Here is an 18,184-nt window from a genome sequence, read left to right on the forward strand (position 1 = left end):
GTGAAACCCCGTCTCTACTAAAAATACAAAAAATTAGCCGGGCGCGGTGGCGGGCGCCTGTAGTCCCAGCTACTCGGGAGGCTGAGGCGGGAGAATGGCGTGAACCCGGGAAGCGGAGCTTGCAGTGAGCCGAGATTGTGCCACTGCAGTCCGCAGTCCGGCCTGGGCGACAGAGCGAGACTCCGTTTCAAAAAAAAAAAAACAAAAAAAAAAAAAAAAACTTGTATTTATGGAAAAGGTGTGCATGCTTTCTCTTTTAAAGATGAAAAATCTCTCTTTCTATTTGTAGAAGCTGTGCACGGGACGCCACCCCGCCGGCTCCTGGAACCCGACCGTCCAGAGCGCCTCATTGGACTGCGCTGAGCCCAGTCCACCTGCACCACTGCCGTCCTCCTCGCTCGGCCACCGTTGGTTACCATGGGAACCATGACCGCAGCCAGCCCCCGAGGCGAGAAGGCCTCTTCATCTTGCCACTCGGGTCGGCCTCCCATTTCCATTTCCAGAGAGCTCGCTGTCGGCTGCGGGGGGCTTTCCATGGCCCTGGTCAGCCCTCCCCACTGGTGGAAACCAGTTTCCATAGCAACAAGAAGGTGGGCAGAGGGCAGAAGGCAGAAGTGGGAGGGGTCTGCAGCCCCAGCCTAGGATTCGGCCAGGGCTGTACCTGGACCTCAGTGCAGGCTCCAGGGCTGCTCAGGGCCACGTGGACCTCACTGGCAGAAGGCCGCTTGCTCCCTGGGCCGCCTTCCTCATCCAGAGGCCAACATGTGCGCAGCATGGAGCCCAGCCCGGGAGGTGCCCCCAGCAAGGGCCCAGAGGCCCAGCCTCTCGCAGCCCAGGTGGTGCAGACCTCCCACAAGCAGGCGACCGTGTCTTGGCAGCCACCCGCGAGCAGGGCCGGCACCCACCCACGCTGCCTGCTCTTCCGAGGCAGGGAGGCGCCTCTGCACCGGCTCAGCCAGGGAGCCATGGAGCCAGGGGGCCAGGGGGTCAAGGGGCTGAAGGTCGGGGGTTGGGGGGCCAGGAGGCCGGGGACCAGGGGGCCAGGCCTGGCAGGTGCAGGAACACAGGGAGCCTGGAGAGCAGGAGCCAGCCCTAGCACTGCTTTTGGATCCTCCACAAATCCACTGAGGACTTTCTATAAAAAATAAAATAAAATCGGTGGCCAGGCACAGTGACTCACACCTGTAATCCCAGCAATTTGGGAGGCTGAGGTGGGTAGATCGCTTGAGCCCAGGAGTATGAGACCAGACTGGGCAACAGAGCAAGACCCCATCTCCAAAAAAAAAAAAAAAATTAGCCGGGTGTGGTGGCATGCTTGTTTGCACCTTGCACTGAGAGGCAGTCAGCGCCACTGCACTGCAGCCTGAGAAACAGAGTGAGATACTGTCTCCAAAACATGAATAAGTAAATAAATAAAAATAAAAACAGAAAAAAAGGAAATAATCTCTTCCAGTGAGCAGTTTGCAAACCTGGGGAGATGTAGCCTTCAGAGAGAAGAAAGCAAGCGAGGGGCTGAGTTTGCAAACTGTCCGCAGGGGTCCCAGTCTGGTCCCTTATGCAAATGGCGGATGTACACTTGCTTCGTTTGATTGGTCAGCGTGTAATGAGTTCCGATTGGTCCAGACGGAGGACAGCCTTTTGGTCGATTCGGAGACAGGAACAGCCCAGTGAAATCCCAAGGTGACCCTGGCACGTGGGCTTCCTGCACAGTGTAGACCCGGCCTCCAACAAGCAAGCAGCTGCCTGGCTCTGAGTTCAGGCCCTGTTAGCCCGGGGACCCATCTGGAAGGACTAGCTGTTTCCAGGTTTCAGGTCCCCACAGTGGTCATAGAGCCCAGCCCAGGTGGGCTGACAGACACTGGAACAGGGAGTCACGAAAGGAGGTGGAGCCACCCTCACCTTGCTCCTGAGCAACTGGCCTGAGCCCAGCGCCCCACGGCCCACCCGGGCTTCAGGACAAGACGGCTGGGCAGAAGCGGCCATGCCCTGGCCAGTGACCAGCACCTGGGAGACCAACTGTTGGCGGGAGGGCGCTGGCTGCAGGGTCAGGGGGTCCCAGCACTAGGGCCCAGCGAGGAAGGGGTGGAAAACTGAACCTGGGATAAACAGGAAGTCAGCCTGGGAGGGGCCCGTGGGGCCCCGAGACCCGAGGGCCTGGCGAATGCCCCAGCAGCCCCAGGCCATCGGCCAGTGTTTCCTGCTGCCACCTCTGGCCAGACTACCTGTGGGCCATGGGGTAGAGATCACCCAGGGCTGAGGTCGGGACTCAGGGGGAACAGCTGCAGACGCCAGGGACCATCTGGTTCACCAGCCAGTTGTGCTCTGCGACATTCAGGAACCGGAGTAAGCACGCGGCTTAATAATTATGCAGGACAGGTGCCACTGCACAGGCATCTTCCTGCACTTTTCTCCACCATCGCCTGGACGGAGTAGATAGGGTAGGAGGAGGCAGAGCACCTGGTGGGCAAAAGGGGGTCCCCGAGAAAAAGGGGGTGTTTGAGCAGCCCCCATGCACTCTGCGTGTGCTCCTGGAAGAATAAAGGAGGCCTTTATTCTCGTTGCAGGCTTTTCACTTCTCAGAGCCCGAGACCCCTCCTGGGAATTTGCCAGGGCCTGATTCCCCAGCAACGTGCCCCAAAGTCTGACAAACCCAACGCTGCTCTGGGATGTAAGGAAACAGAAGGAAGGGCAGAGACACAGAGGGTTGCCCCAGTCCTGGGAGTCCTGCAATGCTCTGCCACGACCAGTGTTGGTCCGAGGCTGGGTCACTGCACCCTGCCCCGCAAACCCAGGTGGAGGCTGAAGCCCCAGGTGGGAGCCACCTCTGAGCAGGGTGGGGAGGAGGTGAGCACTGCTGCTCACCCTGCGGCTGAGTGAGAGCCCCAGGACTGCAAAGCTTGGCGGGCCCTTGGGTCATCCGATTCAGAGTGTTCTAAGGTGTGTCCTGTGGGACAGGTGTCTATAGGATGTTAACGGGTGTAAGCTTAAAAGATGTCTTCTGATCTACTTATTTTTGGGAACCATTGAGTTAAAATGTTTCTGGGTAGTGCTGAGCACTCAAGAAAGAGTGGCCTTCTCCGTAAATGTGGGTTGTACATTGGATATCAGTTTGTTCATGGACTGCACTACGAGCTGTGCCCTCTCCTGGTGGAGGGGAAACAAGCTTCCTCTGGCCTGTTTCATAAGGGCACTAATCCCACTCACCGGCGGGTTCTGCCCTCATGAAATAATGACCTCCAAAGGCCCCACCTCTGAATACTCTCACCTAGGCAATGAGTTTCCTCGGAACACAGCACTGCTAAAGAGAGGAGGCGGGGGGGGGGGGCCTCTGCCAGCTCTGGACACCCTTGAAGGGACAGGAGCGCAGAGTCTAGCAGGAGGCCTTGGAGGACATCAGACCAGCCTGAGGGTCATCAGTGCCAGCACCCAGATGCCCAGACCCCAGAACTGCAGCAGGGAACACTGTGTCCCCCAAAAGTAGGGCTGGCAGAATTAGGGGTGTGGGGGAGGCACGGTCTGTCTGCAAGATGGATCACAGAGGGGCCCTGCAGCTGCAGAGGGTGGGGGCACTGGCCTGGCTCTCAGGGAGCCCCATCCCCTCCTCAGCCTTAGGAGCCCCCTGTCTGCGGCTGGGGCAGCAGCCAGAAAGGGCCTGGTGGGGGTGTGTGGGCGAGCAGGGGTGGGTCCTCCTGGCCTAGTACCTCCATGCCCAGGTGAGTCTCTACCTCTCTGAGCCCTGGGAGGGTGCCAGCGTTTGGGGGAAGGCTGTGCGTAAATCTCAGCACGGGGTAGTCCCTGTTAGCTCAGGCAATATCCTGCAACCCCTCATAGGACACACCTTAGAACACTCTGAATCGGATGACCCAAGGGCCCGCCAAGCTTTGCAGTCCTGGGGCTCTCACTCAGCCGCAGGGTGAGCAGCAGTGCTCACCTCCTCCCCACCCTGCTCAGAGGTGGCTCCCACCTGGGGCTTCAGCCTCCACCTGGGTTTGCGGGGCAGGGTGCAGTGACCCAGCCTCGGACCAACACTGGTCGTGGCAGAGCATTGCAGGACCCCCAGGACTGGGGCAACCCTCTGTGTCTCTGCCCTTCCTTCTGTTTCCTTACATCCCAGAGCAGCGGTGGGTTTGTCAGACTTTGGGGCACGTTGCTGGGGAATCTGGCCCTGGCAAATTCCCAGGAGGGGTCTCGGGCTCTGAGAAATGAAAAGCCTGCAACGAGAGCATGTGTTGAGGACAGGAAGCCAGAGGCTGGGGTCTCCTGAGACACTGGGGCAGGGGATCCTGGAGCGTGCAGGGAGAATCAGCATGGCATCCTCTGAGCTGGGCACACACTGTGCTGGGAGGGCAGGGGTGCCGCGGGTATTGTTCCTTTAGAGACACAGTGTGAAAGTCTGTGTTTGTGAGCTCATGTGAAAGTGTCTGTGCACATATATGTGTATATGTGTTTGTCACTTTTGCACGTGTGCCTACATGTACCTTCGTGCATATGAGTGTGCATGAGTGTGCATGTGTGGGTGTACGTGTGTACGTGCATTTACGTCTCTGTGTGTATAAACATGGGTATGTACGTGTTTTAGTGTAGGCTTGTGTGTGTTGTGGATATTTGTGTGTGCCTGTATGTCTCTGTGCGTGTGGGGCTTGTACATGTATGTGTGTACCTGTGTGTATGCATATATGTGGACAGGATCACATCAGAGTTGAGCCATTATTCAGCTCGCAGTCTGTGCAGGTACCTGGCACCGTCCCTGTCTCCTGGGCTTCAGCTGTAGAATGCCAGCCCTACAGTAGAATGTATCATACAGCATTCTTTATCCATGCTTTTGTGGGTCCTTTATTTTTAATTCTTATAGTAAAGGTCACATTTCACAGATTTCGGCTTGTTTGACAACAAACATTAGTCAACATCCTTCAGATGTTTGCAGATTTTGAAGAATTTCTTATTTCACCAACATTTTCCAGAGTCTCTGTGTGTACTTTCCCTAGGATTCCTGCAGGGAACCTCACAGGGGTCAGGGATCAGGGCGGCCGACACACGGGCTCCTATGCATTTCACAGACCTGCAGTGAAGCCGGGAGCTGCGTGGGAAGGCCTTGCCCTGGCCCCTAGTTCACTGCTGACCATACACCTGCCCCAGGGCTGATTCATCTGCCCCACCCTGATCACGGCTCAGGACACACACACAGGGCCCTACCCAACAGAGACAGAGGCCAAGGCGCTGCCAGGCTGGGAGCATAGCCTACCAGCCCCTAGTCGGATGCGGTTCTCTAAGTCCTCAATGAACTTGGTAGCTGGGGAAACAGACACCAGAAGAAGCTCCACTGCTGTCCTGATCCTGAAGAAGGATGAGCAAGGACACCTCAGGCAGTGCCACGGGGTCGGAGGTGGCCGCTGCTGGGGGCCTGTAACACCAGGCTCCAGGAGGGGAGACAGCACAGATCATCTGAGGCTCCCTGCCTGGATTTGTGAGGTCAGCAGCGTTACTGTTGCCCCAGGTCACAGGGGAGGAAGCCGCACCTCACTGAGTCATGCAGCCTGTGAGTGGGAGAACAGAATTCAAACCCGGCTGGGCTCCATCAGACCCAGGTACGAGGGCTTCCTCGCTGCCTCCCCAGCCTCGTCATGAGCTCATTTTTAGTGAGGCATGAAAGCAAGGCCACACCCGGGAACCCAGGGCCCCAGGTCCACGCAGAGACTGCCCTGGCCTGGGGCTTCATCCTGTACCTCACCCCAACTCTGACCCTCCCAGGAGCTGCTGCCGCCTCGTGCCCACGAAGTTTTGTTCTCCCATCTGCCTTTGAAAAGATGTCATATTTCAGGAGTGTTCTTTTCATTATCACTCGTCTCCTACAAATAACAATTTCATGTTTTTATGTAATGCTTTCATAGCTCTTAAAAACAGAAAGAGGCACCTTGATGGCAAGGTGGGTGTGTGGCTCTGTTTCCATTGCACTCCCTGATTAGCAATCAGGGCCTCCAGAGTGGCTTTGATTAAAAGACAAGCGCATAGAAAAAGCTTCCAACTCTCCTCCTCCTAAGGCTACCAAACATTCACCAGCAAAGGAAATTGGACTTCCACTCTGACCAAGCTGGTATTGACAGTGCTTGGAGAGAGGTGGGGGAGAGAGGTGGGGGAGAGGTGAGGGGGAGAGGTGGGGGAGAGGTGGGGGAGAGGTGGGGGGAGAGGTGGGGAGAGGTGGGGGGAGAGATGGGGAGAGGTGGGGGAGAGGTGGGGGAGAGGTGGGGGAGAGGTGGATGGGGAGAGGTGGATGGGGAGAGGTGGGGGAGAGGTGGATGGGGAGAGGTGGATGGGGAGAGGTGGGGGAGAGAGCTGGGGGGGAGAGGTTGGGGGAGAGGTAGGGGAGAGGTGGGAGGGAGAGGTGGGAGAGAGAGGTGGGAGAGAGGTGGGGGAGAGAGGTGGGGGAGAGAGGTGGGGGAGAGAGGTGGGGGCAGAGGTGGGGAGAGGTGGGGGAGAGAGATGGGAGAGAGGTAGGAGAGAGGTGGGGGAGAGAGGTGGGGGCAGAGGTGGAGAGAGGTGGGGGCAGAGGTGGGGAGAGGTGGGGGAGAGAGGTGGGGAGAGGTAGGGGGACAGGTAGGTGAGAGGTGGGGGAGAAAGGTGGGAGAGAGGTGGGGGAGAGAGGTGGGAGAGAGGTGGGGGAGAGAGGTGGGAGAGAGGTGGGGGAGAGAGGTGGGGGCAGAGGTGGGGGAGAGAGGTGGGGGAGAGAGGTAGGGGAGAGAGGTGGGGGCAGAGGTGGGGAGAGGTGGGGGAGAGAGGTGGGGGGAGGTGGGGGAGGGAGGTGGGGGAGAGAGATGGGAGAGAGGTGGGGGCAGAGGTGGGGGAGAGGTGGGGGCAGAGGTGGGAGAGAGGTGGGAGAGAGGTGGGGGAGAGGTGGGGGAGAGGTGGGAGAGAGGTGGGAGAGAGGTGGGAGAGAGGTGGGGGAGAGAGGTGGGGGGAGGTGGGGGAGGGAGGTGGGGGAGAGAGGTGGGAGAGAGGTGGGGGAGAGGTGGGGGAGAGGTGGGGGAGAGGTGGGGGAGAGGTGGGGGAGAGAGGTGGGGGGAGGTGGGGGAGGGAGGTGGGGGAAAGAGATGGAGAGAGGTGGGGGAGAGGTGGGAGAGAGGTGGGAGAGAGGTGGGGGAGAGGTGGGGGAGAGAGGTGGGAGAGAGGTGGGGGGAGGTGGGGGAGGGAGGTGGGGGAGAGGTGGGGGAGAGAGGTGGGGGAGAGGTGGGGGAGAGGTGGGGGAGAGGTGGGAGAGAGGTTGGGGAGAGAGGTGGGGGGAGGTGGGGGAGGGAGGTGGGGGAGAGAGATGGAGAGAGGTGGGGGAGAGGTGGGAGAGAGGTGGGAGAGAGGTGGGAGAGAGGTGGGGGAGAGGTGGGGGAGAGAGGTGGGGGGAGGTGGAGGAGGGAGGTGGGGGAGAGAGATGGAGAGAGGTGGGGGAGAGGTGGGGAAGAGGTGGGGGAGAGGTGGGGGAGAGGTGGGGGGAGGTGGGGGAGAGAGATGGAGAGAGATGGGGGAGAGGTGGGGGAGAGGTGGGGGAGAGGTGGGGGAGAGAGATGGAGAGAGGTGGGGGAGAGGTGGGGGAGAGGTGGGGGAGAGGTGGGGGAGAGGTGGGGGAGAGAGATGGAGAGAGATGGGGAGAGGTGGGGGAGAGGTGGGGGAGAGGTGGGGGAGAGGTGGGGGAGAGAGATGGAGAGAGGTGGGGGAGAGGTGGGGGAGAGGTGGGGGAGAGAGATGGAGAGAGGTGGGGGAGAGGTGGGGGAGAGGTGGGGGAGAGGTGGGGGAGAGGTGGGAGAGAGGTGGGGGAAAGAGGTGGGGGGAGGTGGGGGAGGGAGGTGGGGGAGAGAGGTGGGGGAGAGGTGGGGGAGAGGTGGGGGAGAGAGGTGGGAGAGGTGGGGGAGAGAGGTGGGGGGAGGTGGGGGAGGGAGGTGGGGGAGAGAGGTGGGGAAGAGGTGGGGGAGAGGTGGGGGAGAGGTGGGGGAGAGGTGGGGGGAGGTGGGGGAGAGAGATGGAGAGAGGTGGAGGAGAGAGGTGGGGGAGAGGTGGGGGAGAGGTGGGGGAGAGGTGGGGGGAGAGAGGTGGGGGAGATGTGGGGGGAGGTGGGGGAGAGAGATGGAGAGAGGTGGGGAGAGGTGGGGGAGAGGTGGGGGAGAGGTGGGGTCCTCCACGGAGCTGTGCGCAGCTTGCTTTCGCCTGTGTCTACTAGATCCCACGGAATCCGCTTGGAGAGTCTCAGGACTGAGTGTCCAGCAGCTCACTTATAGGGAGAGCCCAGACGCAGGCCACAGGTCGGCGCAGGGCTGAGCCCGAGAGCACGATGCAGAGCCAGCGTGAGGAGGAAGCTCCGCAGCGGCCGCCCCTGGAGCCCGGATGCAGGGACCAGCTCTGCTGCCTGACGCCGCGGCCGACATCAGGGCCACTTCCGGTCCGCACCCAGCCCTCGCTGCCCCTCAGGAACGACCCTGCCGCTGCTACCACAGAAACCCGAGTGCCTCAGCCTCTGCAGAGTCTGTTCACGCTGTTGTGACGAAGACCATAGACTGGCGGCTTCTAAACAGCAGACATTTCTTCCTCTCAGTCTTGGAATCCGGGAAGTTCAAGACCAAAGTGCCGGCAAATTGGCGGCCGGTGAAGGCCGGTTTCCTCATCCTGCGCCCTCTCACAGTGGGAGGGAAGCACGCGGTCCCTCGAGCCTCGTTCATAAAGGGCCCTCACTCCCCTCGCGAGGGCTCTGCCCCCCTGACCTCATCACCCCCAAGGCCTCATCTCCAACAGCATCCTATCTCGGGTTAGGGTTCCAGCACGTGAGCCTGCGGGGGACGTTCCAGCACGTGAGCCTGCGGGGGACGTTCCCGCATGTGAGCCTGCGGGGGACGTTCCCGCATGTGAGCCTGCGGGGGACGTTCCAGCCTGTGAGCCTGCGGGGGACGTTCCCGCATGTGAGCCTGCGGGGGACGTTCCAGCATGTGAGCCTGCGGGGGACGTTCCAGCATGTGAGCCTGCGGGGGACGTTCCCGCATGTGAGCCTGCGGGGGACGTTCCAGCCTGTGAGCCTGCGGGGGACGTTCCAGCCTGTGAGCCTGCGGGGGACGTTCCAGCCTGTGAGCCTGCGGGGGACGTTCCCGCATGTGAGCCTGCGGGGGACGTTCCCGCATGTGAGCCTGCGGGGGACGTTCCCGCATGTGAGTCTGCGGGGGACGTTCCAGCATGTGAGCCTGCGGGGGACGTTCCAGCCTGTGAGCCTGCGGGGGACGTTCCAGCATGTGAGCCTGCGGGGGACGTTCCCGCATGTGAGCCTGCGGGGGACGTTCCAGCATGTGAGCCTGTGGGGGACGTTCCAGCATGTGAGCCTGCGGGGGACGTTCCAGCATGTGAGTCTGAGGGGGACGTTCCAGCATGTGAGTCTGAGGGGGACGTTCCAGCATGTGAGTCTGCGGGGGACGTTCCAGCATGTGAGTTTGCGGGGGACACAGACATTCAGACCATGGCAGCTACCTCGGCCACCAAATACTCTCCTCCAAATTGAACTCTCCCATCGGAGCCTCTGATGGACAGAGCCTGAGTTACTTCCTGCCTCCCAAGCCGACGGGGGAGGTGAGTTCTATGTACCGCCCAAGGGAGCTGCCCTCAACACAGAGAAGCCTCCCAGAGGGTGGCCACGGGCCGTGGCCTGACAGTGGCACTGCTTCGTCTGAAAAGGGCTGGCCAGGAGAGGATAGCTGAACAGCTGGGCCTGCACCAGCAGCTCTTCCAGAGTGGAAGGGGCCCATGGGAGGTGGCCCAGTGCTTCAACCCTGGTTCCTCTCTGTTTTAGTTTTAGCTCTTAAATTGGGTCTTTGATCCTCTTTCTGTTAATTTTTGCATATTGTGTTATGTAGCAGTCAAACTTCATTTTTTTGCATGTGGATATCCAGTTGTTCCAGCACCGTTTGCTAGAGAAATTATTTTTTTCATTGACTGGCTTTCACACCCTCTTGAAAACCAATGGGTTACATAGGCTTATTTCTGAACTCCCACTTCCATTCCATTGGTCCGTATATTTATCAATAGGCCAGCATCACATTGTTTTAATTATTGTAGCTTTGTAGTTAAGTTCTGAAATCAGGAAGTGTAAGTTCTTCAACTTCATTCTTCTTTGTTTTTCTTTTGCAAGAACTATTCAAGGTTTTTTGCAATTCCATATGAATTTTAGAATTAGCTCTTTCATTTTTGCAAAAAGGGTTCTTGTAAGATTGACAGGGACTGCACTGAATTCATAAGTAGCTCTGGGTACTGTTGCCATCCTAACAATGTTAAGTCTTCTAATCCATGAACATAAGATGCGTTTCCACTTATTTATGTAATCTTTAATTTATTTCAGCAATGTTTTATAGTTTTCAGTATACCGTGCTTTCTCCTCCTTGGTTAAGTTTATTCCTAAGTATTTCATAATTTTTGATATTGTAAATGGAATTATTTATTTTATTTTACTTTAATTTGATTATTACATCTCAGTGTAGATCTCTTTGAGCTTATCCTACTTAGTTTGCTGAGCTCCTTGGATTTGTATATTCACATATTTCATAAAATTTAGAAAAGTTTTGGCCATATTTCTTCATATAGTCTCTCTGCCCCTTTATATCACTCTCCTCCCCTCAGAATCAATAATTTCAATGGTCCTGTCTTTAAATTCTCTGATTATTTCTTCTTCCTGTTTAAATCTACTGTTGAACTCCTCTAGTTATTTTTTTTTGTTTAAGATCTTCTACTTTTTAATTCTAGAATTTCAATTTGGTTCCTCTTTATAATTTCTATCTCTTTACTGATATGCTCTATTTTGGGGGATATCATTCTCTCATTTTCCTTTATTTCTTTGCCAATGGTTTTCTATAGCTTTTCAAACATATTTAATAATATTCTCCATAATTGAAATGTGCTTAAATTGATTTGAAGTCTTCCTCTAGTAAGTTTAATGTCTGCTTAATTTCTGCTTACTTTTGCTTACAAGCAAGCCGTTCTTTTTTGTTTTTGCATGTCTTGTTATATTTTTGTTGAAAATGAGACATCTTGAATATTATAGTGGGGTAAATCTGAAAATCAGACTGTTCTTCTCCTCAAGGTTTTTTGTTGTCCCTTGCTGTAGGTTGCAGTTGCTTGTTTAGTGACTTTTCTGAACTATTTTTAAAGACTACCTTCTTTATTGTATATGATATGGTCAGCAATGTTTTGACAGAGATTTCCTTGAATGCCTGGAACACCTCCCTTGGCCCCAGAAAAAAATTAAAGGAAATACTCCCCTGGTCTTTGCAAATCAGTTCTGTATCGCAGCACCCCTCCACTTAGCCAGTCCATTCAACTCTGCCTTAGCCTTCACTTCCTGCTTGCAATGAACCCAAAGATAAGCTGGAGGTGAAACATTAGGTCTTCTCAGGTCCTTTCTGAGTCTACATGCTGTACTGGTCATACACATGGCATTCTATATTATATGCAAGAGATTTTCAAACCCCTTAATCCCCAAAGTAACTCTCAGATTATCCCCCAGGCTTTTGGCTCATCTATTGTTTGACCCAGGTGTCAGCAGTTTGTTCATTGACTTTTCAATGTTGGTAAGAAACACTCTCTGCTGTCCACTTTTCTGTGCTGAGGGAGTTCTAAGTTAGGCAAAACAATGGCCCACTGTTACTCCTTAAGGGACACCCCAAGCAAGTCAAAACAGACAAACATGATTGCTTGGGAATCAGATCCACCCTCCCCCAGAGCCCGGGATCCACACTGAAGCCTGGACCACCATATTCAAGACCAGCACCACACAGGGTGAGGATGAGGCAGTGCTAAGTTCAAATGCCACAAGGCTCTCCCACCATCTTTAAGTCACCTTTTTCTTGATAAAACATTTGTTTGGTTGCTGTAAACCTTTGACTACTTTCCAGAGTTCTGACTAGGTTATCTCAATAGTTCTCTGTGTCTCTCTTTCTGTTTTTGATGTTTTTGTAGAGGGACAGCCCTTGGGGCTCCCTGCTCCCCGACTTTTGCTGACCCTTACCCTCATCTTTCACCTCAACCACAAGCTGCTTTTCAAAACTTCTGTACTAGTGATACTGAAAAGAAGCAGGTAAAGTTGTCCTTTCTGTTACCTTCTCTATGCAGAAGTGCGTTAACTCATCCTCTCCTCACCCAGCTTGATGGGCAAGGGCTCTCCTTTCTCCCATTTTGCAGACCATGAGTTTGAGGCTTACCAGGGTCATTGTGGCTGAAAGCTGCAGAGCAGCAGAGAGAGGATTTAAAGTCCAGCCAGCCATCTGGCCCTAGATCCTATTTCTCACACCAATGCACCACAGTTCTATAAGGCCAAAGTCTAGGAGCTGCTGTGGGATTACATTCTCCCCCACCTTCTTCCTTCTTTCACCCTGAGGTCCCCCCTTTTGAAGGCTAAACACACAAGCACACCCTGGGGGTGGGGCTGAGGGAAGGCTCTGCGATTCTGATCAGGTCACAGTGGACAAGGTCTTCTGCCCTAGTACAAGAACTTGGGAACACAGGGAGTTGGTGTGCTGTTGCTCCAAACACGGAACATTTCTAAAAGTTGACATGTCAATTCTGTGCAATTTTTCTTTCATTTGTTATGAAAACATTCTGTTGCTCTTAAGGAAGCAAACAGTTGGTGTTTATCTTCTACCACTTACCACAAGTGTGATTTGAAAAACAAACCGATTTTCCAGCTGCTCAGTGATTAAAATGTTTGACAATTTATGTCTTCATGTTTGATTTGTGGCCCAGAAGGTGAGAAGTACAATAAAGATGTCCTTCCATGTCCCTGAGCTGAGCTGGCATCCTCCACGTCCTCAGCATACTCTGAAAGTCCTTTGTAAAAAATGCCTCTTGGAGTAATTTAAGATGGAGCTGAAAAGTGGCCCTTTAATTGAGTTGAGTTGCAGCACTTCTGAAGCCACTTAAACCGTAGTACCAAATTAGGAAGGAAACATTTCTAGAATGAGTTGTGTTCTGTTCCAAAATAATTCCTTATTGAGGTCCCAAGGCATGATTTGCATATGATGAGCAATCAGAAATTGTAGTGTGGAAAGGAAGCATTTGGATAGACCTTGAGGATATGTGGAAGCCCTTCATGGTTCTGATTCTTTTTCTCTTTGGTATTTGTGTTGTTCTAGAATCACAGCACATCATAAAGTAAGAGAAAATGTGATCGATGGGTGGGAGGGTAAGCTGATGCTTTAAGCCTTTCTCACCTAACTAACTGCAGGTAGACAGCACGTGGTACAGAAACAGGTCCCTGAAAATGGGCAGGGAGAAATCCTTCTGTAAGATGAATAGCCCTTAAATGCAGTATTCAAGCTTGTTGTTTGAAGGCAATGTCTGATTAAGTCCTTTTGTTGCTCATTTATGGAACAAACAGTTCACCTAATTAGTTAAAGCCCTATTTCTAAATGCATAGTTCCTTCCGATGGGAGCAACCAAGCGGCCTTGCCACTAGGCTTAGCGACGCTGGGCAGTCACTGGGAGCTGACCGTCTGCTTCAAGGCCCCGACTCTGGAGTTCCATTCCAGCCAATGGCCAGACCACAAAGCCAGGATGGGACATAATTCTTTAGAATAAATCAAGAACTAAGAAAAAAGGGAGTTTAGGGGAAGACGTCAGCCCCACAGGGCAGTGTCCAGGAGGTTTAGCAAAGACACTGTAGGGATAGTTTGAGGAATCAGAGGACACAGCACAAATGTAGAAATCTTGCACAGCTTTGATCCCCTGGCCAGAATTGCAACACACCCCAGGCCACCATATGAGATTCCAGTGATGCTCAGGGGAGTGACGCCTTCCAGTAACCTCCCAGGGACGTGGTGGGGAGGTCACTGTGAATGCAGAAGGCCACTGAGTGGAGCATCACAGGAGTGCTGTGGATCAGGCACTGGTGGGTCATACAACCCTTCAGACACTGGCACCTGCAGGCTCTGCAGCCCACAGGGTGGCCAGTGCCTGGTACTCACCATTCTGAGCTAACTGGCACTGTCACTGCCCCCTCCTCCTGCTGCCACTGGCCAGCAGGTCCAGAGGGCAGATGTTCAAAGAGCAAGCCTGTGCCTTGGAGTTACCCTCCCTGCTACCACTCACTCACACTCCTATGGGCCTACAGCAAACACGTGGGCACTCTTAACCTCAGCTCACAGCAAAGCCTTGGCATCCCTGAGGCCCAGAGCGCCGACCTCTGCCAAGGTCACCTGTGGCCAAGGGCATGGTGAGAGACTTTCTCTGGGGCTTTTTCCTCCTTCTGGACGCCATGTCCCTGAGCTGATTCACACGGGAGATTCATACATTGCTAAATAAGACTTTGACCTAGCGCCGTTCCCTGAAGTTTCCCAGGTCTGAGGAGCAAAACAAACAAATGCAAAGGAAAATACAAAGCAGATAAAGCCATGAGGTAGAGACCAAGGACACACCCTCCACACCCAGCAACGTGGAGGGGCTGCCCAAGCCCACTGAGGGGCGTCGGTTGCCATCAATAATAACTTCACACGCTGTCCATGCTCTCACCTTGGTCTCATCCCAGAAAGTAACTTCATTGATATGTGAAATCTGATATCCAACTATATTGCAATTGAGGAAAAATATATTCCTTTCAGCCCCCTTCCCCATTATAAAGACTTTATGCCCAAATCAGTTTAAATTTACTTTTTAATTATGTACATAGCTTTCTTATGTGAAGCTTCTGACTAGAAATATGTATCTCATTTTATTTTATGTTATTCCATTGACCCAAACACAAAGTCATTTTTCTTGAATACTGAATGCTCATGTACCTTTTTAATTAAAGCTTAAAAAGCTCTTAATTAAAGTCATAAATCAGGGGCAGCAATTTCTACCTAAATTGTCTTGCAAGCCTTCCTGGTTTTCCTTCTGCTTCACGGTGACCTGTGAGGCAACTGCGGGGTGAAGATGCCTTTCACATTTAATCTGTGGTAAGCAGCTTGGGCGTGGGGGAGCGGGCGGGCAGTCCTATCACGGCGTCTCTGTCACCAGCCAGGTGCCTGTGGTGGCCAGCAGGGCCAGGCGGTCTTTGTGAGCAGGCAGGTGGTCCTATCGTGGCGTTTCTGTCACCTGCCAGGTGGCTGTGGTGGCCAGCAGGGCCAGGTGGTCTTCGTGAGCAGTCGGGTGGTCCTATCGTGGCGTTTCTGTCACCAGCCAGGTGCCTGTGGTGGCCAGCAGAACCAGGTGGTCTTCGTGAGCAGGCAGGTGGTCCTATCGTGGCGTTTCTGTCACCTGCCAGGTGCCTGTGGTGGCCAGCAGGGCCAGGCGGTCTTCATGGGAGCATTATTCACGGACCCTCATCCCGTCTCATGCCTCTCCTGCCTTCCTCTACTGTGGTGACGAGGACAGGGCTCACCTGTCCACTCATTTCCAGGATGGCGGGCAGTTTTCTAGAAGCTTTTGTATGCCAAGAATTGGCCATGTCTTCTTTTGAAAAGTGTCTGTTCATGTCCTTTGCCCACTTCTCAGTGGGGCTGTTTGGTGTTTGCTTATAAATTTGTTTAAGCTCTTTATAGGGCTAGATATTAGACCTCTATCAGATGCATATAGTTTGCAGATATTTCCTCCCATTCTATGCCATTATCCTTAGCAAACTAATGCAGGAACAGAAAACCAAATACTGCATGTTCTCACTTAGAAGTGGGGGCTAAATGATGAGAACACATGGACACAAGAAGGGGAACAGCACACACTGGGGCCTACTTGAGGGTGGAGGGTGGAAGGAGGAAGGGGATCAGAAAAAAATAACCATTGCATACTAAGTTTAGTACCCGGGCAATGAAATAATCTGTACATCAAACCCCCATGACCCGAGTTTATCTACGTAACAAACCTGCGCATGTACCTTGAACCTAAAATAAAAGTTAAAAAAAATTTTAAAAAGAATTGGCCATATACTGATATTTTCAAAAATTAAGTGGCTCTTGCCAATACCTCATCGGGGTACAATTAGCACTTGACAAATTGCCTGTTCTGCACACACTGCACAGTTTGATAAGTTTTGAAATCTGCGCACATCAAGGCATCATTACCACAGTCAAGGTAAGGAACAGATCCAGTCCTTCCTCAAAAGAAGCTTCTTTTTAAATCCCTCCTGCCTTCCCCAAGGCCTCTCCCTCCATCCCAGGAAACCCCCCTTCTGCTTCCTGTCACTATAAACCAATTTGCATTTGATAAAAGTTTTTACAAATTGAACCATACAGTATGCACTGTTTTTCGACTGGCTTCTTCTACTCAAACTATTTTAGAGTTTCCTCCATGTTGTCGCATTATCAATAATACATCATTCTTTATGTATCTCTGGGTAATATTCCCTTGAATGCACATGCTCATTGTTTTTCTTTCACCTGCTGGTGAACTTGGAGTTGCTTCCATTTGGGGGATATTCCTAATAAAACTTCTGTGAAAGTAAGTTCATATACAAGTTTTTATATGGGCACATGCTTTCTTTTCTCTTGAGTAAAATACCTAGCAGTTGAGTGGCCAGATCGTATAGTAGGTTTATCTTTAACTTTTTAAGAAACTGCCAAAATGTTTTCCAAAGTTATATTAGTTTATACTCCCACTAGCATGTTAATAATGTGTGGGAGTTTCAGTTCACCCGCATTCCCACCAAGAGCTGGTATGGTCAGTCTTTTGCTTTTAGACACTCCAGTGGGTTTATGGTGGGATATCGTGGTGATTCTAATTTGCATTTCTCCATGAGTAATGATGTTGAACATCTTCTGAGTGCCTATTTGCCATCTGCTTATCTTCTTTAGCGAAGCATCCAAATCTCTTACCCATTGTTTTACTGGACTGTTTATTTTCTTATTTTTGGGTTTTCAGAGTTTTTTCTAAATCATGAATACAAGTCCTGTGTCAGAAATATAACTTGCAAATACTTTCTCCCAGTCTATGGCTTACTGTTTTGTTGTCTTAATGATGTCCTTCAAAAAGTAGATATTCTTACTTTTGGTAAAGCCCAATATATCATTCTTCTTCTTTTATGGGTCGTATTTTTGATGTCATATGTAAGAAATATTTGCCCAGCCCAAGGACACAAAAATTATCTCTTATATTGTCTCCTTTTTCAGTTTTCTTTTTGGGTCTATTTTAAGTTAAATTTTGTGCATGTTAAGTTTTTCTTTGTAGTTGTATCCATTGTTGCTCTATGTATTTTGGAACTCTGTTATTAAGTGCATATGCATTTAAAATTGTTATGTCCTCTGGATGAATTAGTCCTTTATCATTATGAAATAAACTCTTTTATGCACAGTAATATTCTTTGCTCTGAAATTTACTCTGATATTGCTACAATCAGAATTACTCCAACTCTATTTTTATTAGTGTTAGTATATCTGTTTCCACTTTTTACTTTTAACCTATCCATGTCTTTATATTTAAAGTGTGTTTCTTATAGGCAGCATATACCATAGTTTCCCCCATCCACGGTTTTACTTTCTATGATTTTAGTTACCCACATTCTACTGCCATCCAAAAGTATTAAATGGAAAATTCCAGAAATAAACAATCCATAAGTTTTAAATTTTATGTCATTCCAAGTAACATGATGAAATCTCATGCTACCCCCTTGAATTTAAGATTTACCATCTATTTCCTGGAATACCTCTGAAATGGATAAGTGCAACCAGAGAAAAAGAAGATACATAAACACCAGGGAACAAATGGAAGAATCACAGCAGATTTCTCACTGGACACAGGGCACGCTAAGACCGTGGAGCAAGATTGTTAAAGCACTGAAAAAAAGAAAAACCCGTCAAACCAGAATTCTTTACTAACAAAAATACCATTCAAAGACTTTGTCAGGTTTACAAAAGCGGCAAGATCATCACCACTATCAGAGCCATGTACATATACACCATGGAATACTATGCACCTATCAAAAATAACAAAATTATGTCCTTTGCAGCAACATGAATGGAGCTGGAGGCCATTATCTTAAGCGAACTAATATAAGAACAGAAAACCAATACCACGTGTTCTTACTTATATGTGGGAGCTAAACATTGAATACATATAGATGTGAAGATGGGAACAGCAGACACTGGGTCTACCAGACAGCAGAGGGAGGGAGCGAGGCATGGGCTGAAAATCTACCTGCTGTGTGCCGTGCTCACCACCTAGGTATGTGTCTACATCTATTCTTAATGTATTTTCTTAGGATTTTATAGGC

The sequence above is a fragment of the Homo sapiens genome, chromosome 10 (genome assembly GCF_000001405.40).
Source record: "Homo sapiens chromosome 10, GRCh38.p14 Primary Assembly".
NCBI classification, from domain to species: Eukaryota; Metazoa; Chordata; class Mammalia; order Primates; family Hominidae; genus Homo; species Homo sapiens.